The sequence below is a fragment of the Homo sapiens genome, chromosome 16 (assembly GCF_000001405.40).
Source record: "Homo sapiens chromosome 16, GRCh38.p14 Primary Assembly".
NCBI classification, from domain to species: Eukaryota; Metazoa; Chordata; class Mammalia; order Primates; family Hominidae; genus Homo; species Homo sapiens.
In genome coordinates this window covers 21921969-21945751 of record NC_000016.10, presented here as the reverse complement: position 1 = coordinate 21945751, position 23783 = coordinate 21921969, and the positions used below count along the sequence as shown (strand labels likewise).

The following is a 23783-nucleotide window of genomic DNA, read 5'->3' as shown; positions in this document are numbered from 1 at the left end:
ACTCCATCTATCTACCTAGGCAAGAATCAGAAGAAAATATCTCTGTGTCCCTCTCTCTCCACTTTATTTCTCCTTCTTCTTTATTAGAGGTGAGATAATTGTAGAAAAGAAAACACACTATTTTTAAATAATCCTTTTTTTTCTGGTCATGGATCCCAAATGTTCTTGGTGCAAAAATTCTCTTTCAACTGAAGCATATGAACTTTATTTTGGATGTCTGAAATAGTAACCCAACTCAGCCCTCCAACATTGATGAATTTATATTAGATATATGTGTATATGCATGTATATCTGCACGCGTGTGTGAGTGTGAATGTGTGTGTGTGTGTATCCATAGGAAAGCTGATGTGATCCAGGCCTTATGCGCTTCTTATCCATAACTCAACTGCTGAAACATAAAGCTCTTGTTCTTTGGGCTGTCCCATCTGACAGCTCCATCATTACTGGATCTTTCTGTTCAAATGTCCAGAACACTCAGGAACAGGTTCCTGTCCCAACCCTGATAAATGCTGCTCTTTCATATCTCAAGGAGAGAAAATGGGAATTTCACCAAATGTCTTTGGATTTGAGCATGCTGGATACACAGGCCGCTCATCTAAATCTGCAATGAAGGGGACAAACTTTCTTCTTTGGGAAAAGCTTTATTACATAAATATATGTACACCAAGATATACATGCACAGGAAGGTCCCCCATGCATCCAGGTGTCATCTATGAGAGACACAAGGGTCACTGGTTGTAACTGAATCTCATGGCACCTCGTTTTCATCATCACTGGATGCTTTCTCTGGGTTAGCAAAGGTCAGGAAGACCTGTTCCAGTGTGATCTGACTGACAGAATAGTCTTCTAAATCGAATTGCTCTTTAGCTTCCTCCAAAATGCCAAACACCTTTAACAACAGCAACAAAAACACAGTTACCATTGCAATCTCCCCTTCAGCCCCCAACTCAGATAAGCCTCTCCTCCACTCCCCCAATTCCTATCAAGTGTATGTTGGAGGACAAAAGGCACAGAAGGGAGAGGTGAGAAGGTGGAAGAACAGAGAATTGAGAAAGTGAGAGGAAGCCATTCTCTGTTCCCATTCTCTTGATGGATATGGAGTAATAATGGAATTTACTTAATTATATACTGTGGAGGGGTGAATAGAGGAGGTCAATACGAAAGGAGATATAACCCGCTAACCCACTCTTTTTGGTATCCATGACACGGTTCATGCTTTCAGATTTATTCCTCATGAAATCATCTTATTATGTGGAGTTCATAGCAATTATTGAGGGCAGGATTTGAGGTACAATAAATTATCAGCTGACATGCCCAATGTAAGAAAACTGAGCCTTCTAAAAGTCTAATGTTTGCAGAGGGACCTGATCCATGATGGCCTATTAGAAGTAGCTGCGGTTCACAGCACTCATGGAGAGGAACGGAGAGGGGTGAGTGAATTTAGTACCTTTGACTGACATATCCAGGTTCTCGCATTGGGACCAACTAGGCTAAAAACTCGACCCATGGAGAACAAAGAAGAGCAGGGAGTGGAGATGGCCCACCAAGGAGCTACACGGAGCCAAAGGAACCACCACCCCTAGACAAGAGAAGCAGTGAGTGATGGTGAGACCTTGCCCAGGAAACCACGCTTTTCCCATGGATCTTTGCAATCCACAGATCAAGAGATCCCCCCATGAGCCCACACCACCAGGGCCTTGGGTCTGATACACAGAGCTGTGTGAAGTCTTGACAGAGCATCCACTCAGGCACACACAGAGACCCAGGAGTTTTATATACTCTAGCCTTGGGATCCCTGGCAAGGTGAGAGGTCCATCTGTACATATCCCTAGGAAGGAAGCTGAATCCAGGGAGCCAAGCAGTGTCATTCTGCAGGCCCCACTTCCACGTCACATCACGAGTTAAGACCTACTGGTTTGGAATCCCAGCCAACAAATGGCAGTGAGTTAGAGTCTCCCTGAGATGGGTCCAAGTTCCTGGAGGAGGCGCAGCTGCCATCTCTGTGGTTTGGTCAACTCAGCTGCTTCAGTCTGTCAGCTTTGAAGAATACAGGCAGTCCGAACAAGGAAAGGTCCCACACAACACAGCACACCTGCTCTACCAATAAGCAGCCAGACTGCTGCTTTGGGTGGGTCCCTGATCCCTTTCCTCCTGACTGAGTGAGACCTCCCAATAGGGGTCTCTAGCTACCTCCTACAGGTACATGTAGGCTGGTGACCAAAGGAGGGACTCCTCCCTAACTCATTCTATGAGGCCAGCATCATCCTGATACCAAAACCTGGCAGAGATACAACAAAAAAAGAAAACTTCAGGCCAATATCCTTGATGAACATCAATGCAAAAATTCTCAATAAAATACTGGCAAACTGAATCCACCCACACATCAAAAAGCTTGTCCACCATGATCAAGTTGGCTTCATCCCTAGGATGCAAGGTTGGTTCAACATATGCAAATTAATAAATGTGATTCACCACGTAAACAGAACTGAAGACAAAAACCACATGATTAGCTCAATAGATGCAGAAAAGGCCTTCGATAAAATTCAACATCCCTTCATGTTAAAAGTTCTCAATACACTAGATATTCAAAGGACATACCTCAAACTAATAAGAGCCATGACATGACATATGACAAACCCACCGCCAATATCATACTGAATGGGCAAAAGCTGGAAGCATTCCCCTTGAAAACTGGCACAAGAACAACTGGCACAAGAATGTCCTCTCTTACCACTCCTATTCAACATAGTATTGGATACAGTATCTTGGTTGGCAGGGTTTTTTTCTCTTCAGTACTTTGAACATGTCATCCTACTCTCTCCTTGCCTATGAGGTCCTGGTTGAGACACCTATAGCTAGCCTTATGGAATCTCCCTTATATGTTATTTGCTTTTTTTTTCTCTTGCTGCTTTCAGATCCTCTCTTTGTGCTTGATTTTTGACCATTTAATTATAATGTCTTGATGTAGCCTTGTTTGTATTGAATCCGAATGCAGATATGTGACCCTCTTGTACCTGGATATTTATGTTTTTCTTAGTATTTGGAAAATCTTCTGCTTTTATTTCTTTAAGCTTTCCAACAATTTGTTTTTTCTTCTTCCTCACAAACTCTAATAATGTAAACACTGGCTCTTTTGATGCTGTTCTATAAATCCCATGAGCTTTCTTCATTCCTCTTAATTTTTCTTTTAATCATCTAACTGTATATTTTCAAAAAACCTATTTTGAGTTGAGATATTTTTCTCTGCTTGATAAACTCTGCTGTTAATGCTTTCTACTGCATTATTCATTTTATTCACTGTATATTACATATCCATGATTTCTGTTTGATTTTTTAAAAAGTAATTTCAATTTCTCTATTAAGTTACTAGTCTGGGTCATTTATTGTTTACCCGATTTTGTTGAATTGTTTTTCTGTGTTATCTTGAAGTGTGCAGAGCTTTTTGTTTTCGTTTTTGTTTTTAAGATGGAGTCTCACTCTGTTGCCCAGGCTGGAGTCCAGTGGCACGATCTCGGCTCACCGCAACATCCACCTTCTGGGTTCAAGCGATTCTCCTGCCTCAGTCTCCCAAGTAGCTGGGATTACAGGCACCCACCACCATGCCCGGCTAATTTTTGTATTTTTGGTAGAGATGGGGTTTCACAATATTGGCCAGGCTGGTCTCAAACTCCCGACCTCGTGATCCACCTGCCTTGGCCTCCCAAAGTGCTGGGATTACAGACGTGAGCCACTGTGCCCAGCCTATAGAGCTTTCCTAAAGTGATTTATTGATCACATCAAATAGAACTCTTGACACAATAAGTCCTCAAAAATATTTGCCACATGAATGCATAAATGAATATTCAACTTCTTAATGGACATATCCATCTACATGTGTCAAGGGCACACCATAAACACTATGACCAACACCGAGGTGATAATTTTTCTACACAGCTCGTTCTCCACATATGCTTGACCATCCATTTCGTATCTATTTTCTGATTTTCTTCTCTTTTTGCTTTTTTGAGACAGAGTCTCTCTCTGTCACCCAGGCTAAAGTGCAATGGCATGACCTCTGTTCACTGGAACCTCCGCCTCCCCGGTTCAAGCAATTCTCCTGCCTCAGCCTCCTGAGTAACTGAGACCACAGGTGTGTGCTACCATGTACAGCTAATTTTTGTATTTTTAATGGATATGGGGATTCATCATGTTGGCCAGGCTGGTCTCAAACTCCTGACCTCAGGTGATCCGCCCACCTCAGCCTCCCAAAGTGCTGGGATTACAAGCATGAGCCACTGTGCCCGGCCCTGATTTTCATTCTTACTGTGTAATCAATTTTGCTATTTTCCATTGCCTAGGAGACAAATTTTCAACCCCTTAGCCTAACACACAACGGGAACTTCTGCGGTATTTTGCTCAGCCTAACAAAGTGGAAACTAAGATGAAAAACCAGAATTATTAAAAGCCTTGCCATTGCCCATGCTTTAGGTTAAGGAAAGAGAGATAAGAGATCGAAATGCATGCTCTCTCTTGTACTGTTCCATGTAGGCGGAGAGGTGCTTACTGAATTTAGCATGAAGAAACGGCACTCAGAAACCAAACTACTCTTGAAAGGAGAGAAATACCAGTTCTTATTTGCATTTCAATACCATATCCTAGCTGAGACAGCAAAAGCATAAAGTTGCATGAGCAGTGTGAAGGAAAAAACCTTAAAATTTGGCATGAATAATCTGTAAAAATAATTGAGAATTATGCTAAAATAGGACTTTAGATATATAATTTATTTTTAGTTTTTATTTATTATCATTAATTTTTTTAGAGATGGGGTCTTGCCAGGCTGGAGTGCAATGGCACAATCATAGCTCATTGCAGCCTTAAACCCTGGGGCTCAAGCAATTCTCTGGCCTCAGCCTTCCAAGTTGCTGGAATTACAGGCATGAGCTACTGCGCCCAACTAATTTATATGGACAGCACAAACATAAAAGTGCCTTGTTAGGTGATGTAAGAGTTTGTGAGGACTTCTGCTTTTTGTGAAACTTAGCATAATCTGGCATAAGAGACTATAATATCAAACATTGCCAAAGGAACATTATAGAAAATCAATACCTATCAATAACTCACAGAAAACTGGTATTGAAGACATAAATCATATGGATGGTGAGAACAACAAATATGATTTAACACATTTCTCAAACTCCTGAGCTCAAATGACCTGCCCACCTCAGCCTCCCAAAAGTGCTGGGATTACAGGCGTGAACCAGTGCGCCCGGCCAATTTAATACATTTCTGACAAAGGTAGCACAACTTAATTTACCTGGAAATGTTGTTGCAACATAACATTTAAAATCCTCTAATTTATCTTCAGTCTTGACCTTGACCTTCAGGATGTAAATGTTGCCAAACTTGCTCTTGAGATGCTGAGGGCTGCCCAAGCAAGTGAACTTCCCTTGCACCATGATGGCTAGACTGGTACAGAGGGCGTCACATTCCTCCATACTTGGAAAACAAAAGGGCAGAATGTTGTAAGGGTAAAAATAAAAAGTTCTCTTTTGGAAGACATTGTGTAGTTCAATCAGAGCCAGAATTTTGTGACCCTATTTTCAATCAGAATTTGTATTTTTCCAATCATAAAGCACATAGATGGGAAGTGGGAATTTTTCAAACGAAAAAGAACACAGCGCTCAATTTTCAAATAGAACATCTTCTGAAGTCCTGTCTTTTCCTCACTTTTTTTTTAAACTCAGTGAGGATTTTTGGCCATTTGATTTATTAGGATTAACATGAATCCTAATTCCTGATGAGGAGCTAACATACTCAGGCAAGTTTAGTGTCCAATATTATCCACTGGGCCTAAATAATTCCTTCTTATAGCCACTAAAACTCTTGCTAGCCTTCAACCAAGCCTCCCAATGAGCCATACCTGTGGGAGGTCATAACGATGGCTTTTCCACTTTCACGTGTCTTTGTCACCATGTTCCAGAGCAGGCGTCTGGCTACTGGGTCCATGCCAGTTGATGGCTCATCCAGGAAGATGACTGAAGACCTTCCCATTAGGGCAATAGCAGTACTCAGCCTACGTTTGTTTCCTTCACTTCATGGCCAAAGAAGGAGAGAAAAAGTGAGAGAAAAAATGGCTATACATATCAGCTATGTATAGGAAAGAGTTAGTACAAATTTCCCAAATGCTGAGAGTCCCAGCAAACACTTAACATGGATGTCCCAATGCTGATTATATGTGACTTTGATTAGGTAGCAGGCCCAATTACAGGCGTCTATATCAATTCATTTTAATTTGAGATATCGAGGAGTGACTTTTATGTAATTAATTTTGGCAGCATTATCAGTGGCATGTTCTTAGAGTGTTATGGTTTCCAAGACACATAAATCACATCATAATTCAAAGGGCCTACATTCCTCCTTACTTGGTAGACAAAGAACTATAGGGACACTAGGAAGAGAAGACACTCCTTTTTTTGAGGTTCAGAGGATATAGTTCAAATAGAACCAAGACTTTGCGTTTCATCTCTGAAAAGGGAAGATGTGGAACTGTATTGATTTGCCTTGTTACTGGCATCTGAAGCCTAGCAGAACATTAGATAGTTTCACAAGTAGGTAATTGTGGGAAGAGGAGCTTAGGTGGAGCTGTAAGCTTCATTTCAAACAGCAAGAACCTCAATATTAGCAGCATCAACAGAAAAGAGCAGTAGCATAGTGACTTACCTGTAGGTGTTGATAAGCCTGGCAGCATGAGACTCCAGTTCCAGTGAATTCAAACATTTGTTCACATACAGCCCAATCTGGGGCTCAGAGACTCCCCATATTCTGGCATACATAATCATTATTTCCTGAGCAGTCATATATTCCAGCAAGGCATCAAATTGAGGACAGTAGCCAATTCTTGACCTCACCTAATAACAAAAATTGCCTTGAGTAAAGAGCCAAGTCATCCATCCCACTCTACATCCATGGATGAGATGGCAAACCTGCAGTCCTCCAAGCCATGCTTCTAAGAGTCCTACCAAGACTGTTTTTTTCCTAAAGGGCTACAGAATTACAGCTGTCAGACCTATTGTAGGACACTGGGATAATAGCTTCTGTAATTCAGTTTTAATGATCTTGGGGATAAAGAAGTTAGAAATAAAATTCTAGAGCCACACAATTTGGAGGAGTATTGGAATATGAGATGCTCTTCTCATTAATCAGGAACTCTAAGGAGCATGGAAACCATGATGTTTTGGCTTTGTTTAACCTGTAGAGCCATATGTATATCTTGTTCCAGGGTAAGGCTGAACCAGAAGCAAAGCCTTTCTGCATTCATCCCCAAACCAGAGACTGCAATAAATGTTGCTTCACCAATTAGTCAAACCCTTCTGTTGATTTACATTGAGGTGCACATAGCCTAACAGACAGAGAAAAGGCTGTCAATTTAAATTAAATTAAATTACTAATTAATTTACAGTGTTTCCAAACTATTAATGCCCCCTAAACTCCTGGCATGGCACAAGCTCCTGCCCCTCTATTTGAAGTGACAGGGGCTTTAAAGGACTAGCTCCCTTTACACACCATCCTTCATTTTTCTCATTTTCCTCTTTTGGGATTCATATATTAAGTATTAGGGCATTAAAACACAACTGTATATATAAAGAAAAATATAAAGTAACCACACATGCTCAGGGAAAGACACAGGCTCAGAAAATGCCTGAGAAGAACTTAGTTTCACACCCCAGGCTGATCCTAAGCACCGAGACAGCCTACAACAATCCAAAAAACAAAAACAATAAATAAAAAGTAACAAACAACAGCAAACCTAAGAGAATGACGAAAATATAATTTCCAGAATTACCACTTTATTAGAGTCAAATGTCCAGTTTTTAATAAAACTCAGAAGCATACAAAGAAACAGGAAATTATGGCCCATCAAAGGATCAAAGGAAAAAAAAATGAATGGAAACTGTACTGAAAAAGACATGATGGCAGATATACTAGAAAAATACTTTAAAATACTGTCTTAATGATGCTTTAAAAACTAGAGGAAGATGTGGAGGAAGTCAAGAAAATGATGTACAAACAAAACAGCAATATCAATAAGGAGGTAGAAAACTTTAAAAGGAAACAAAAAAATTCTAGAGTGGAAAAGTACAATAACTGAAATAAAATATTAACTAGTAGGATTGAAAGTCATGTTTGAATAGGCAGAAGAAAAAATTACTTAACTTGAATATAGGACAATGGCAATTATTGAGTCTGAGGAACAGGAAGTAAAAAGATTGAAAAAAGGAAAAAAAAAAAGGAAAGATCAAAGAAATGTAAACAGAGCCTAAGGGACTTTTGGAACACCATCAAGTGGACTAATATATACATTGTGGTATTTAAGAAGGAGAAGAAAGACAAGGGCAGAGAGATAATTTGAAGAAATAATGATTGAAAACTTTCCCAATTTCATGAATATAAACATCCAAGAGCCCAATGAACTCTAAGGAAAATGAACTCAAAGAGACCCACACCAAGACATGTTATTATCAATTCAGCAAAAGCCAAAGACAGAGAGAGAATCTTGAAATCAGGAAGACAGAAGCCATGTATCACGTTTTAAAAAAGTCTCTGAAGACTATCAGCAGATATCAGAAGCTTCGGCAGCCAGAGGCAATGGTGTTTGACACATCAAGGTACCTGCAGCTGTGCACACTTTCTCCTGGGTCAGAGACTGCAGGCTTTGTACTGGGGCAGGCCTCGGAGCTCTGTGCACAGTAGGTTTTGCTTTTTTTTTTGAGACCGAGTCTTGCTCTGTCGCCCAGGCTGGAGTGCAGTGGCACGATCTCAGCTCACTGCAAGCTCCGCCTCCCGGGTTCACACCATTCTCCTGCCTCAGCCTCCTGAGCAGCTGGGACTACAGGCATCCACCACCACGCCCAGCTAATTTTTTGTATTTTTTTGTATTTATAGTAGAGACTTCACCGTGTTTGCCAGGATGGTCTCGATCCCCTGACATCGTGATCCGCCCGCCTCAGCCTCCCAAGGTGCTGGGATTACAGGCATGAGCCACCATGCCTGGCTGACACAGTAGGCTTTTAACAAATACTCAAAAAATCACAGTTCTTAGGCATTTAAGGAACAGAGTTGGAACAAAATCAAGATTCAAAATTATTTCTCTAAGCCTTCTTTGGGCCACAGTCTACAAAGAGATTGGGGAAGTAGGCTGTCAGAACTTTAATGGTTCTGAAATAACCGAAAATGATGTAACTGGAACACTTTCATTTTACAAGATTACAGTGTTACATTTTCTAAAGAAACTGTCATTTGCCTTCTGAACTAGAAACAGGGATTTGTAAAATAATGTGCAGTGATGGCGTGGAAAACTAACCAGCAGCACTCCTGAAACGCTGCCTTCGTGTTCCCCTGGGACTGCTCGCCTCACCCCAAAACTATTTCTACTGCCTTCCCCTTCCATGCTACAACTAGTCTCCAAAGGTAGTTTTCTCTACTAACAAAGCAAACAGATCATATGAACGGACATCAGACTTTCTTAGGAGATTTCTGAAAATTCTCTCTTCTGGGGAAATAAATTGTGAGCATTTCGATTCAAACATTCCTGAAAGAATAACCAGGCAACCAAAACACTCAGTGACCTAACTGTGGTGGGCTGGTCACTTCAAACTTAACAGAACAATAGAACATATACTACTTTATGGCCAAAAAAAAAAAATCTTTTTAAAACAATAAGTGTGGACAAAGTGTTTTCACAGATGAAGAGATGAAGTTCCTGAAATTTAGGGTTTCATTTCTCAAGGGTCTCCTTTAAACAAACAAACAGTTATGATTTCAAAGTAGACATGTGCCTTTAACACCATTTTTAAAAATTACCAGCCTTAGCAAAGGTGTAGAAAAAACTTGTTCTCAAGCACTGTCCGTGGAAGAATTAGTAAAACATTTCTAGAAAACCTGTTACCGTCTTAACAAACTTTTAAACACATGTAGCAATTCTACTTCCAGGAACTTATCTATTTGCCAAGACATATATGCAAGGATCTTCCCTATAGGGTTGTGTATAAAGGAAAAATCAGACAGACTATGCCAGGAACCCTCTGAAAGAGAAGAGTCAACTGTGGAGGGGGCACCTGTGAATGAATCCTGCGGAGTTGCTAACAGAGCAGACTTACACACACAACATGGTAAAGTTCCATGACACTGCACACAGGGGATTACACACACAACATGGTAAGGTTCCATGATGCCACACACAGGGGATTACACACACCACATGGTAAGGTTCCATGACACTGCACCCAGGGGATAACACACAACACATGGTAAGGTTCCATGACACCGCACACGGGATTACACACACAACATGGTAAGGTTCCATGACACTGCACACAGGGGATTACACACACAACATGGTAAGGTTCCATGACACTGTACACATGGGATTAGGTGAGCGGGGGAGGGGCTGGGGGAATAATAACATCAAAAGAGCACCTTTTCTTCCCTTATTCCGAGGAGACTTACCGCTAGGGGGACACATGCACACACAGCTCAAGGATACCCGAGACGGCACTCAGGACAATTCAGATGCGCCGTGTACACACACACACACACACACACACACACACACACACACAGAGAGAGAGAGAAAGGCACAGACACACATATGTGCACATAGACCCTGGGGCTCACAGGATGCACAGACAACCCTGGCCCTCCCCGAGGAGGCTGCAGCGGGCAGACAGGGCAAACAGACCCCAGCGTGACCTGCCCCACCTATGTTGGCACAGAGGGAGTGTTTTGCTTGGTTATAAGCACAGTGCTCATGCCTGCCCCATGCCTAGAACCCTCCCTCTATAGGGCTGTTGCTAGGGCTCTGAGATACCAGAGAGTGGTCAGGGAGTGTGGCAGGGGAAACTTTGGGGACAGCTTCAGGGTACCGTGTTGGGACTGGGACATTGTCAGGGTGCTCAGAGAGGGCGTGTTCCCTGGGTCTTGGTGCATTTAGAGGTCAAGGGACCATTTCTGGAGGCTCACTATGTGCCAGGGCAGCTTATATCAGAACTCCGCTCTCTTTTTTTTTTTTTTTTTTAAAGACAGAGTCTCACTGTTGCCCAGGCTGGAGTGCAGTGGCACCATTTCAGCTCACTGCAACCTCCACCTCCCGGGTCCAAGAGATTCTCCTGCCTCAGCCTCCTGAGTAGCTGGGACTACAGGCATGCACCACTACCACACCTGGCTAATTTTTGTATTTTTAGTAGAGACGGGGTTTCACCATGTTAGCAAGGCTGGTCTCGAACTCCTGACCTCAGGTGATCCACCTGCCTTGGCCTCTGAAGGTGCTGAGATTACAGGCATGAGCCACTGCGCTTGGCCAGAGATCTGCTCTGGAAGACCCCCCAGGCTGGAGGGCACTGCCACAAGCAGACAGTATGGCGAGGGTCCCTATGGCCACCTGGCAGGCAAGGTGGATTCTGGAGGGAGGTGGCCTGGGAGCAGGCTGAGGATGGGGTGAGGGCATTTGAGCAGCAGAGTGTCTGCGTGACTGGGCATAACTGGAGGGACAGTAAATGACTCTTGTGTGAGAGGATGAGGGTGGGGTGAGAGGGGCTGACTACCCCTAGGACTTTTGTATTTTTAGTAGAGACAGGGTTTCACCATATTGGCCAGGATGGTCTCGAACTCCTGACCTTGTGATCTGCCTGCCTCAGCCTCCCAAAGTACTGGGATTACAGGTGTGAGCCACCGCACCTGGACACGTTACTTAATATTTCTGTGCCTTGGTTTCTTCATCTGTGAAATGGGATTGTTGTGAGAACACAAAGGGATTCCCAGGGCAGTTCCTAGTGCATAGTCTGGCTGCCTTTGTGTGTGTGTGTGTGTTTAATATAGAGACAGGGTCTCACTATGTTGCCTAGGCTGGTTTCAAACTCCTGGGCTCCAGTGATCCTCCTGCTTCCACCCAAAGTGGTGGGATTACAGGCGTGAGTCAACACACCTGGTCACTTTATATTATTATTTTTTTCTTTTGAGACAGGGTCTGGCGCTGTCGCCCAGGTTGGAATACAGCGGTGCAATCTCAACTCACTGCAAACTCCGCCTCCCAGGTTCAAGCAATTCTCTTGCCTCAGTCTCCTGAGTAACTGAGATTACAGATGCCTGCCACCACACGAAGCTAATTGGTTGGGTGTGGTGGGGCTTTCCAATGATTACTTATTAATGATTACTTATGAAAAACAACAACAACAAAAAAGCCATCTTGAAGCTGCTTTTAATGAGAAAACAAATGTGCTCCCAAGCAACAGAGCAGCGAAATTCTTTATTACTGGATTCTAACTTTCCTCTCTAACTGTAACTGTCTCAGCTCCACTTCATGTGACCTGGAGGGTATGTTGCAACCTGCGTCTTCACCACCCATTCATGAAGATCTATAAAACTAATGTAAACTGCTGGGGCAATTTCAACATGAGTCAACTGGAGATTGTTACTTGGTGAGAATGCGCAAGTGGCAAAGATCTAAATTTGTTCAGCTAATTTGTAATTAACCTTCGCTTCTCACATGTCAGTATGTGAAGTGTCTGGTTTAAGCAATTTATCCAAAAAAGCCATAGACTCTTTAAATAACAACAAAACCTGGGCCTGGAATTTTATAAAGGCAGAATGAGTAAGACACGGTTTCGGTGTGCTTTTTTAAAGAAAACAGGGTCTTGCTCTGTTGCCCAGGATGAAATGCCATGCTGCATTTACAGCTCACTGCAGCCTTGACCTCCCACCTCAGCTTCCAGAGGAGCTGGGATTACAGGTGTGCACCACCACGCCCAGCTAATTTAAAAAATTTTTGTAGAAACAGGGTGTCACTGTGTTGCCCAGGCTGGTCTCCAGCAATCCTCTGGCCTTGACCCCCTAAAGTGTGGGGATTACACGCACGAGCAACTTGCCACTTACTATCTGACTGTGACCTGGAACCAGAAAGGAGATTCCGAGAGTGTGCTCAATCAATCACAAACTGACCTTTTTCATGGGTTTCTTGAACTCCTGTAGCTCTTCAGCACTCATGCCTTCCCATACCTGATAAATAGGATCAATGAATTTCTTTGACCTGTCAACAAAGATCACATTTCAAAGTCAAGTTAAATACTTCAGCAGAAGTCAAAATTGGTTTGGATCTTTTCTCACAAGATCTATTACCCAAAACCAAGAAGTGAAAACTACAGCTTAAATAATTACATTAAAAAAAACCTGGCTGGGCGCAGTGGCTCACGCCTGTAATCCCAGCACTTTGGGAGGCTGAGGTGGGCAGATCATGAGGTCAGGAGATCAAGACCATCCTGGCTAACACGGTGAAACCCCATCTCTACTAAAAATACAAAAAATTAGCCGGGTGTGGTGGCGGACGCCTGTAGTCCCAGCTACTCAGGAGGCTGAGGCAGAATGGCCTGAACCGGGGAGGCGGAGCTTGCAGTGAGCCGAGATTGCGCCACTGCAGTCCGCAGTCCGGCCTGGGCGACAGAGCGAGACTCCGTCTCAAAAAAAAAAAAAAAGAAAAAAAAAAAAAGAGAAGCCCTTTTGTTTCCTGATAGTTACATGTAATTCCAGCAGTATTTGGAAATAATTTGCTAAGATGTTAGAATGTAACATTTGAAGACTCGTTAGAAAAATCAATAAAATTATCTTTGGCTAATGGGTAGTACACATCTTAGTCTGTTTAATATGCCTTTCCAAAAAAAACTGTGTCTGTTGAGAATTGGTGTATATAACTAGATGACTTTAATAATTAGTGCCTGAGTCTAGAATTGAGATGTTTAGTCGTAAAAAAAAATATTGTTCGATAAACAGCGTTGACTTGTCTTGTACCACTTAAGAGTTTGTGAGTGCTTTAAATAAAATTAGTTGATTAAGTATTTTTTTCCTATGATTGACATGCTTAGTTTTGCCTTTTTATTGAAATGTGTAAAATTTGGTTTTCTGGCATCTTAACAAATTAGGTGGTAAATGAATGACAATGGATTTTCTATTATTTTTCAGTATTGTGATCAGTATAAGTATATAAGAGAATTTAGTAACCTTTTAGAAGAATAAAGTGCCCTTCCCAAATAGTCCTACAGCTTTTGGAAAAGTGTAAATTGTAGTTTGTAGTTCTAAATAAATAGAGAAGAGTCGCAGCCACGTGCTAGGGCCAGCTGACTTCATTGCTGACAGGTATGAAGCCAAATGGCTTATGTAGTTATGGAATATGTACATGAGCTATTAATAAATATTATCCATGTTGTTTCTTTCAAGTGCTTTATTTCTTGGCTCTGGGGAGGGGCGATGGGGGAAGGGAGGAGCTTACAAGAAAGCTTGCAAGGTTTCTTTGAAGCTGTGCTTTTTGTAGGAAAGTTTCAGGATGTAACGCCTTGGTAGACGATACTGTGATACATTTGGTTACAGGCAGTAACAGTTTGTTAGGATGTTGGAAAAATTTGATTTTCTCCTGTTGTAGAGGGAACAGGGAAGTGTGGACATACCCCATAGCATAACTTGATTTGTTGCTAAGATTGTCATAGCTGATTTGTTAGTCAATAAAAATACCTGGGGTGTTTGCCAAGTCATAAATTTTTATTAGTTAAATTTGAGGTGATTCTGTCCCCTATTCAGAAAGATGACAGACTCCAGGTAACTGACGGAACAGATCTTGATCTTGCTTCTTGCTTAAATGAAGGTTTAGAACATCTTCAGATGCAGGCACATTTATTATTGTTCATCTGAATAATTTTGGTGAAAATTTTTTTGCCTCTTATGTACCATTTTGTCCCTGGTGTTTTGGTTCTGTTTTCCTTGATGTAGGCTTTTTTTTTTTTTTGTCTTCCTGAGATGGAGTCTTGCTCTGTCTCCCAGGCTGGAGTGCAGTGGTGTAATCTCGACTCACTGCAGCCCCTGCCTCCCGGTTACAGGGAAAAATTCTCCTGCCTCAGCCTCCTGAGTAGCTGGGATTACAGGCGTCCAGCTAATTTTTGTATTTTTAGTAGAGACGAGATTCCACCATGTTGGCCGGCCTGTTCTTGGACTCCTGACTCAGGTGATCCGCCTGCTTTGGCCTCCCAAAGTGCTGGGATTACAGGTGTAAGTCATCGCACTCAGCCGATTTAGGCTTTTGAAAAAGCAATACTTGTTGATTTCTTTTAGTGTTAGTTTGCCAGTTGGTGTGGAAAATGACTGTTGAGACAATTTTGACCACACATGATACTTCACACATACTGACAGGAAGTGTTCCAGGTGGCTGAATATGTGAATGTCATATGGCAAGAGAGCAAACCCGTGTTCCATAGAAGCATACCTCCAACAGTAAGCATTTATATGGCACTGGCTTATAGTCTTCCTTTTCATTCACTGTGCTCTCAGTCAACTCTTCTGTCAATTTTTTTGAGACGGTCTTGCTGTGTCACCCAGGCTGGAGTGCAGCGGCACAGATACTTGGCTTACTGCAGTCTCGACCTCCCAGGCTCAAGCCTCCTGCCTCAGCATCCACAAGTAGCTGGGGCTACAGGCGCTTGCCAACAGCCCGGCTCATTTTTGTATTTTTTGTAGAGATGGGGTTTTCACCACGTTGCCCAGGCTGGTCTTGAACCCCTGAACGCAAGCAATCTGCCCACCTTCAGCCTCCCAAAGTGTTGAGATTACAGGTGTGAGCCACTGCACCCGACATTTAAGAATGGTTAAGCAGGCCGGGGGCAGTGGCTCACGCCTGTAATCCCAGCACTTTGGGAGGCTGAGGTGGGTGGATCACCTGAGGTCAGGAGTTCGAGACCAGCCTGGCCAACCGACATGGTGAAACCCCTGTCTCTACTAAAAAAAAATAAATAAATAAATTAGCGGGATGTGGTGGTGCATGCCTGTAATCCCAGTTACTCGGGAGGCTGAGGCAGGAGAATCACTTGAACCTGAGAGGCAGAGGTTGTAGTGAGCGACATCACACCACTGCACTCCAGCCTGGGCAGCAGAGCAAGACTCCTTCTCAAAAAAAATAAAAAGTTAAAAAAAGAATGGTTAAACAAATGAGTGTCTTAGGTCAGTTGTATTATTTGAAATCTGTGGGTTCCTCAAGCGTAAAGTTGAGAAGGTTTTGGGAACCACTGGATGCCTCTGGTTTTTTTCATATGAAGAAACAGGGGTGGTGGCTTCTTAGAACAAAGGGATATCTGACCTATGGAGGTGGCCCTCTTTACTCCTCTTCCCTAAAAAAATGACCTATCATTGCCAATAGCTAAAGTCTGTCATTTTTTCCACCTTAGTTTGGAAGATAATCTTCTAGTATCAATCAAGACAGAGATCAGAATGATGTGTTTTAAAATTAAATGTGTAATTCATAATTGTACATTTTAATATTCTAAAGTGACATTGATTAATTTGACATTGGAGTCAAATAGATTGATTAATTCAACAAAGAAGAGAAGGCGTTCAAGTCAACAGAAAACAAGTAGATTTTACTTCTCCACTCGGGGTATTAGGACATTAATTGTGTAATTGGTCTTACTTGTTTAGTAGTAGATCTATATTGAGTGTCTTACTGTGCCCAAACTTAGGATCTTTCTATATTTCTAAAAGGATGAAACTGTATAATAAAAACACCTTCCAATTTTGGTAGATTGTAGACAGATCAGAGTATTCAAAAGTACACACATCTTCTCTATTGTGAAAGACCAAAAAATGGAAATGTGTTGTGAAATTAGAAAAGCTGTATACTAGTATGTCTGATGTTGTGAGAAGCTGGATTTTTGAAACCAGAGTTGTCTATTCAGCCTTTTATCAGTCTGTACTAAGTTTGATGTCCATAGGTACATAATATAGGGAGATACATAAAGGATAAAATTAAGTGAAGTTACATATTTTATACCTATTAGGTAGGTGCAAAAGTAATTGCGGTTTTGGCAAAAACCGCAGTTACTTCCACACCAGTCTAATATTAAATGGAACTAGAGTCAAATAGAATTTAGCGATTGCCAGTTCTGTTCCACAGATTTCAAAGTACACTAAGGAAAATTTCAGCAAATTGTGTATGGCTGTTTTACTTGGGGGAGAGTAAAACAGCCATAATAAACTAAAAAATAAAAATTAAAACTAAAGGAACATTTGTTTTTATGTTTTTCTTTTCTTTTCTTTCCTCTTTTTTGAGATATGCTCTTGCTCTGTTGCCCAGGCTGGAGTGCAGTGGTGCAATCACTGCTCACTGCAGCCTTGACTTCCTGGGCTCTGGGAATCCTCCCGCCTTAGCCTCCTGAGTAGCTGGGACCACAGGTGCATACCACCACACCTGGCTAATTTATTTTTCCTCTCTCTCTCTCTTTTTTTTTTGAGACAGAGCTTTACTTTGTCGCCCAGGCTGGAGTATAGTGGCACAATCTCAGCTCACTTGCAACCTCCGCCTCCTGGTTCAAGTGATTCTCCTGTCTCAGCCTCCCAAGTAGCTGGGAATACAGGTGCATGCCACTATGCCCGGCTAATTTTTGTGTTTTTAGTGGAGATGGGATTTCACCATGTTGGCCAGGCTGGTCTTGAACTGCTGACCTCAGGTGATCCACCCGCTTCGGCCTCCCAAAGTGCTGGGATTACAGGCGTGAGCCACCACGCCTGGCTTCCTCTCTCTTTTTCTGAAACAGAGTCTCGCTCCATTGCCCAGGTTGGAGTGCAGTGGAACCATCTCAGCTCACTGCAGCCTCCACCTCCCAGGCTCAATAAGTCCTCCTACCTCACCCTCCCAATAGCTGGGACCACAGGTGCATGTTACCACCCCCAGCTACTTTATTTTTTTTTTGTTTTCTGTAGAGACGGGGTTTTGCCATGCTGCCTGGGCTGGTCTTGAATACCTAGGCTCAAGTGATCCTTCCTCCTTGGCCTCCCAAAGTGCCAGGATTACAGGTGTGACCCACCATGCTTGGCACGCTAATTTTTTATTTTTACTTTTTTGTAGAGATGGGGCCTCCCCATGTTGCCCATGCTGGTGTCAAACTCCTACTCCATTATGAAATAAGTCATTCCTTATGAAACACTTAGTAATTGTATCTTTAAGTTGAACCTTCCCCTCACCCCAACTTTTTTTTTTTTTTTTTTTTTTTTTTTTTTTTTTGAGACAGAGTTTTGCTCTTGTTGTCCAGGCTGGAGCGCAATGGTGCAATCTCGGCTCACTGCATCCTCCGCCTCCCAGGTACAAGCTGTTTTCCTGTCTCAGCCTCCCAAGTAGATCAGATTACAGGCATGTGCCACCACACCCGGCTAATTTTTTTATATTTAGTAGAGATGGGGTTTCACCATGTTAGGCTGGTCGTGAACTCCTGACCTCAGGTGATCCACCTGCCTCGGCCTCCCAAAGTGCTGGGATTACAGGTGTGTGCCACTGCACCCCGCCTTTTTTTTTAAAGACATAGTTTCACTCTGTCTCCCAGGGTGGAGTGCAGTGGCACGATCTTGGCTCAGTACAACCTCCACTCCTGGGTTCAAGTGATTCATGTGCCTCTGCCTCCCGAGTAGCTGGGACTACAGGCGCATGTCACCAGGCCCGTCTAATTTTTGTATTAGAGACAGGGTTTCGCCATGTTGGCCAGGCTGGTCTCGAACTCCTGACCTCGAGTTCCCACCTTGGCTTCTCAAAGTGCTGGGATTACAGAAGTGAGACACCGTGCCTGGACCCGCCAACCCATTTTGTTTTGATTCCTTTATAAATTAGTATAATGGAAGGTTTTTTTGTTTGTTTTTTATAACAGGTAATGAAATACTCTAATTCAGTAAATATTGATGCTTCTGGGGAGATGTGTGTGTGTGTGTGTGTATGTGTGTGTGTGTGTGTGTGTGTGTGTGTGTGTATGTATATAATAAATTTTTTTTTTTTTTTTTAGGATGGAGTGTCACTCTGTCGCCCAGGCTAGAGTGCAGTGGTGCAATCTCGGCTCACTGCCAGCTCCACCTCCTGGGTTCACGCCATTCTCCTGCCTCAGCCTCCCGAGTAGCTGGGATTGCAGGTGCCCGCCACCACGCCTGGCTAATTTTTTGTATTTTTAGTAGAGATAGGGTTTCACCGTGTTAGCCAGGATGGTCTCGATCTCCTGACCTCGTGATCCGCCCGCCTCGGCCTCCCAAAGTGCTGGGATTACAGGTGAGAGCCACTGTGCCCGGCGAAGCAGCGTCTCTTTTTAAGGTTGTAAGGTAGCTTGGGTTAGAAATAAAGGCAGAGAGCCACTCCATACCTGTAGTTCTAGCTACTGGGGAGGCTAAGACCAGAGGAATCTCTTGAGCCCAGGAGTTCAAGGCTGCAGTGAGCTGTAATCACACACTGCACTACAACGTGGGCAACATAGAGTGAGACCTAATAAATAAATAAATAAATAAATAAATAAATAAATAAATGCAAGGAGAAAGTCAGGAACTTGGTGCATTTAGGTGTACAATTAGTTGGCATAAACAATTTTTTTTTTTGAGATGGAGTTTCTCTCTTGTTGCCCAGGCTGGAGTGCAGTGGGGCAGTCTCGGCTCACTGAAACCTCTGCCTCCTGGGTTCAAGTGATTCTCCTGCCTCAGCCTCCCGAGTAGCTGGGATTACAGGTGCCCGCCACCACGGCCAGCTAATTTTTGTATTTTTAACAGATGGGGTTTTGCCATATTGGCCAGGCTGACCTTGAACTCCTGACCTCAAGTGATCCGTCCGCCTCAGCCTCCCAAAGTGCTGGGATTACAGGCGTGAGCCACTATGCCAGCCAAGAATTTTTAAAAAAGGAGTTTCATTCAGCCCACCTCATTCCTCTGCAGGGCACCTGTGTGCAGGGCAAAACTGCTCAACCCTACTCAGAAGCCCTGTGAAAGCTGCTGAAAGGATGAGCAGATTGAGGCCTGAACTGTATCTTGGATTTAGCAGCCTGGAGGTCATAATGGATTTTGCCAAGAGTGATGGGGCAGAAATTGGACCAGTGTGTGTTAAGGAGCTAGAAGAAGTGAAGAAATGGGAGAGGGGAATCTAGACAACTTTAGTTTGGCTGCAGCAAGTAAAGGCAGATTGTTTGATGGAGGGACGTGTGGGATTGATGGAGTTTTTCCTTTTTATATGTTTTTGTATTTTTCAATGGAATACATTAGAAAGTGTTGCATGTTTATGGGGGGGATTTAGTTCAGTGGGAAAAGTATTTGAAAAGCTACAGTAAGGTGGAAGTAGATGGAATCCTCAGTAAGGTCTAGAATCGGGTACAGGTATTTTATGGTATCTTCCTCACCCCACCCCGAGACGGAGTTTCGCTCTTATTATTGCCCAGGCTCTGGAGTGCAGTGGTGCAGTCTTGGCTCACTGCAACCTCCACCTCCTGGGTTCAAGCGATTCTCCTGCCTCAGTCTCCCATGTAGCTGAGATTACAGGTGCGCACCACCACACCCAGCTAATTTTTGTATTTTTAGTAGAGATGAGGTTTCACCATTTTGGCCAGGCTGGTGTCCAACTCCTGACATCAAGTGATCCACCCGCCTTGGCCTCCCAAAGTGCGGGGATTACAGGCGTGAGCCACTGTGCCCAGCTGGTACCTTTTTTCTTGTTGGTGAAGTAGAATGTGTGTATGGGGAGGGGAGGTGATAGGATATTTTGGAATTTGAAGAGAATGGGAATGTCTGGATAGTGCATGTATAGAATGGGAAGTAAACACTGGAGGACCTGGGAGTGTGGTGCTTATTGATGGATCGTTGGGTTTATCCAGGATTGGGGTTTTGCCAGATGGGTGTGATGAGAATCTTAAGAGTTAAGGGTATAGGCAAGAGTGTTGTTGAAATGATACACAATGAAATCTAAGCTGGTTAAAGAAGTGAAGAAGGGGCCGGGCACGTTGGCTCACGCCTGTAATTCCAACACTTTGGGAGGCCGAGGCGGGTGGATCCCTTGAGGTCAGGAGTTCGAGACCAGCCTGGCCAACATGGTGAAACCCCGTCTCTACTAAAAATACAAAAATTAGCCGGGTGTGGTAGCAGGGGCCTGTAATCTCAGCTACTTGGGAGGCTGAGGCAGGAGAATCGCTTGAACCTGGAGGTGGAGGTTGCAGTGAGCCAGTATTGCACCACTATACTCCAGCCTGGGCAACAAAGTCAGAGTCTGTCTCAAAAAAAAAAAAAAAAAATGAAGTGAAGAAGGAGGAGAATACTTGGATTGGGATAAAGTAGAAAGAGTCACTGGATTAAAGTTAACTAAAAAACTCATAAACTTTAGAGTGGTATTGAGAAATTGTAGGGTGAACTGAAAAAGGCTCATGGGATTTTAGAGCCAAGAAGGCCTTGAGTGGCAGTTCCTACCTTAGTAGGAATAGCTTCAGTGGTGTGTTGCAGGTGGAACCCAGATTAAAGTGGGTTAAAAAGTAAATGAAGGCAAGGAAGATAAATTTTTCAACAGGTTTGTCTGTGAAGAGTCCAGGCTATTAGATTGATAGAGGGAGAAAGGCAGTTAAAGGGTTTTTTTGTTTTTTGTTTTTTTTGAGTCAGAGTCTCACACTGTTGCCCGGTCTGGAGTGCAATGGCGTGACCTCGGCTCACTGCAACCTCCGCCTCCGGGGTTCAAGTAGTTCTCCTGCCTCAGCCTCCCAACTAGCTGGGAATACAGGCGCCCACCACCACACCCGGCTAATTTTTTGTATTTTTAGTAGAGACGGGGTTTCACTATGTTGCCCAGGCTGGTCTCAAACTCCTGACCTCATGATCTGCCTGCCTCGCCCTCCCAAAGTGCTGGGATTACAGGCGTGAGCCACCGTGCCCGGCCTTATTTTCTTAATTTTTAAATTTATTTTATTATTATTATGATTATTTTTGAGATGGAGTCTCTCTGCCGCCCAGGCTGAAGCGCAATGGTGCAATCTCGGCTCACTGCAACCTCTGCCTCCCGGATTCGAGCGATTCTCCTGCCTCAGCCTCCTGAGTAGCTGGGATTGCAGGCGCCCGCCACCACGCCTGGCTGATATTTGTATATTTAGTAGAGACGGGGTTTCACTACATTGGGCAGGCTGGTCTTGAACTCCTGACCTCATGATCCACCCACCTTGGCCTCCCAAAGTGCTGGGATTACCAGCGTGAGCCACCGCACCCGGCCTTTAGTTTTTTTTTTTGAGACGGAGTCTCGCTCTGTCACCAGGCTGGAGTGTAGTGGCACGATCTTGGCTCACTGCAAGCTCTGCCTCCCGGGTTCAAATGATTCCCCTGCCTCAGCCTCCCAAGTAGCTGGGACTACAGGTGCGTGCCACCACGCACAGGTAATTTTATTTTTTCTATTTTAGTAGAGACGGGGTTTCACCGTGTTGGCCAGGGTGGTCTCAATCTCCTGACCTTATGATCTGCCTGCCTTCGCCTCCCAAAGTGCTGGGATTACAGGCATGAGCCACCGTGCCCGGCCATTTTTTGTTTTTGTTTTTGTTTTTTTTAAAGTAAGACTTTTGAGAGTGCTCATATGTTGATGATGTGATAAGCAGTAGTAAAATGGGAGATTTTGCAACGTACAAAAGAAACAGGCCGGGTGCAGTGGCTCAAGCCTGTAATCCCAGCACTTTGGGGAGGCCAAGGTGGGCGGATCACGAGGTCAGGAGATCGAGACCATCCTGGCTAACATGGTGAAACCCCGTCTCTACTAAAAATACAAAAAATTAGCCGGGCGTGGTGGTGGGCGCCTGTAGTCCCAGCTACTCGGGAGGCTGAGGCAGGAGAATGGCGTGAATCCGGGAGGCAGCGAGTCGAGATCACGCCACTGCACTTCAGCCTGGGCGACAGAGCGAGACTACATCGCAAAAAAAAAAAGACAAGACATACCTTGGAAAATGGGGGGAATAGACAGATGATTTCTATGGATAGGAGGTTTATTTGTTCCATTATGCGAAGATGATGGGAAGAAAAGCTGTATGTGCAGATGCAGGTGAATTTGTGGATATATTAGAAGGAAGATGACAGGCAGTGATGGAGTGTTGAAGAGCTCAAACATTAGACAGTACTGGGTCTGAGTTCTGACTCTGCCTTTTGCAAGCTGTGCAACCATAGGCCAGTTATGAAACCTTAGTTATCAAGTTATAACTAATAGGATTGTGTTGAACACGAAATGACATGATAAACATATGTAAACTGCTTGGATCAGTTGCCCACTAGCTCTTGTTAGGAGCTAAAATGTTAGCTCTTGCTGAGGGTGCTGTCAAATGGCTTCTGTTTCTCATGGAGCAGAAATCTATAAGGTCATCCACTGGTAGTGGTGGGAGAAGGAAAAAGGTGCAGAAAGTTTTACAGATGTTTTGGAAAGGAAAGAAACCTGGTGAGGGAAATGTGGGCAGCATCAGAGGCCCACTTGAAGTCAGAGAAAAGGAGCATTGGGGCATGGAGGTGAGGGGGTACTTTCTTCAGCTTTTCTCTGAAGACAATTGTGCATGTGAAACAAGGGTTAAAATCAGATCTATTGCCCTCCTGGATTTATTGGCTTCGTTTGCTCTTTCTGGCTAATTTGATTGGAGTTCTGAAAGTAGAGAATATTAGAGGTTCCTTGGAAGGAAAATAAGCAACACTGAAGTCAAATCTTTATCATGTTTGCTGGAAATGTTATTAAAAAACAAAATTTATGGCCGGGTGCAGTGGCTTATGCCTGTAATCCCAACCCTTTGGGAGGCTGAGGTGAGTGGATCACTTGAGCTCAGGAGTGCGAGACCAGCTTGGGCAACATTTTGGGAATGTTGTAGAGAATGGGACAAAAAAATACAAAAGTTGCTGGGCGTGGTGGAGTAAGCCTGTGGTCTCAACTACTTGGGAGGCTGATGTGGGAGGTTTGCTTGAGCTCGGATTGCACCACTGCACTCTAGCCTGGG

At 43.5% G+C, this 23783-nt stretch overlaps 1 pseudogene, besides 3 other annotated features; it reads right to left on the bottom strand.

The window, feature by feature from the left end:
* ABCA3P1 (ABCA3 pseudogene 1) lies at positions 5286-6887 on the bottom strand (annotated as a pseudogene).
* Positions 10149-10648: an enhancer, noted in NCBI's record as "H3K4me1 hESC enhancer chr16:21946425-21946924 (GRCh37/hg19 assembly coordinates)". NCBI's record gives its function as "activates a minimal SCP1, AML or CMV promoter by ChIP-STARR-seq in naive H9 embryonic stem cells {active_cell/tissue: H9 hESC(naive)}" and the evidence as "EXISTENCE:reporter gene assay evidence [ECO:0000049][PMID:30033119]".
* Positions 10350-10644: a silencer, noted in NCBI's record as "tiled region #9028; HepG2 Repressive DNase unmatched - State 5:Enh". NCBI's record gives its function as "represses a minimal TATA promoter and a strong SV40 promoter by Sharpr-MPRA in HepG2 cells {active_cell/tissue: HepG2}" and the evidence as "EXISTENCE:reporter gene assay evidence [ECO:0000049][PMID:27701403]".
* Positions 10649-11150: an enhancer, noted in NCBI's record as "H3K4me1 hESC enhancer chr16:21945923-21946424 (GRCh37/hg19 assembly coordinates)". NCBI's record gives its function as "activates a minimal SCP1, AML or CMV promoter by ChIP-STARR-seq in naive H9 embryonic stem cells {active_cell/tissue: H9 hESC(naive)}" and the evidence as "EXISTENCE:reporter gene assay evidence [ECO:0000049][PMID:30033119]".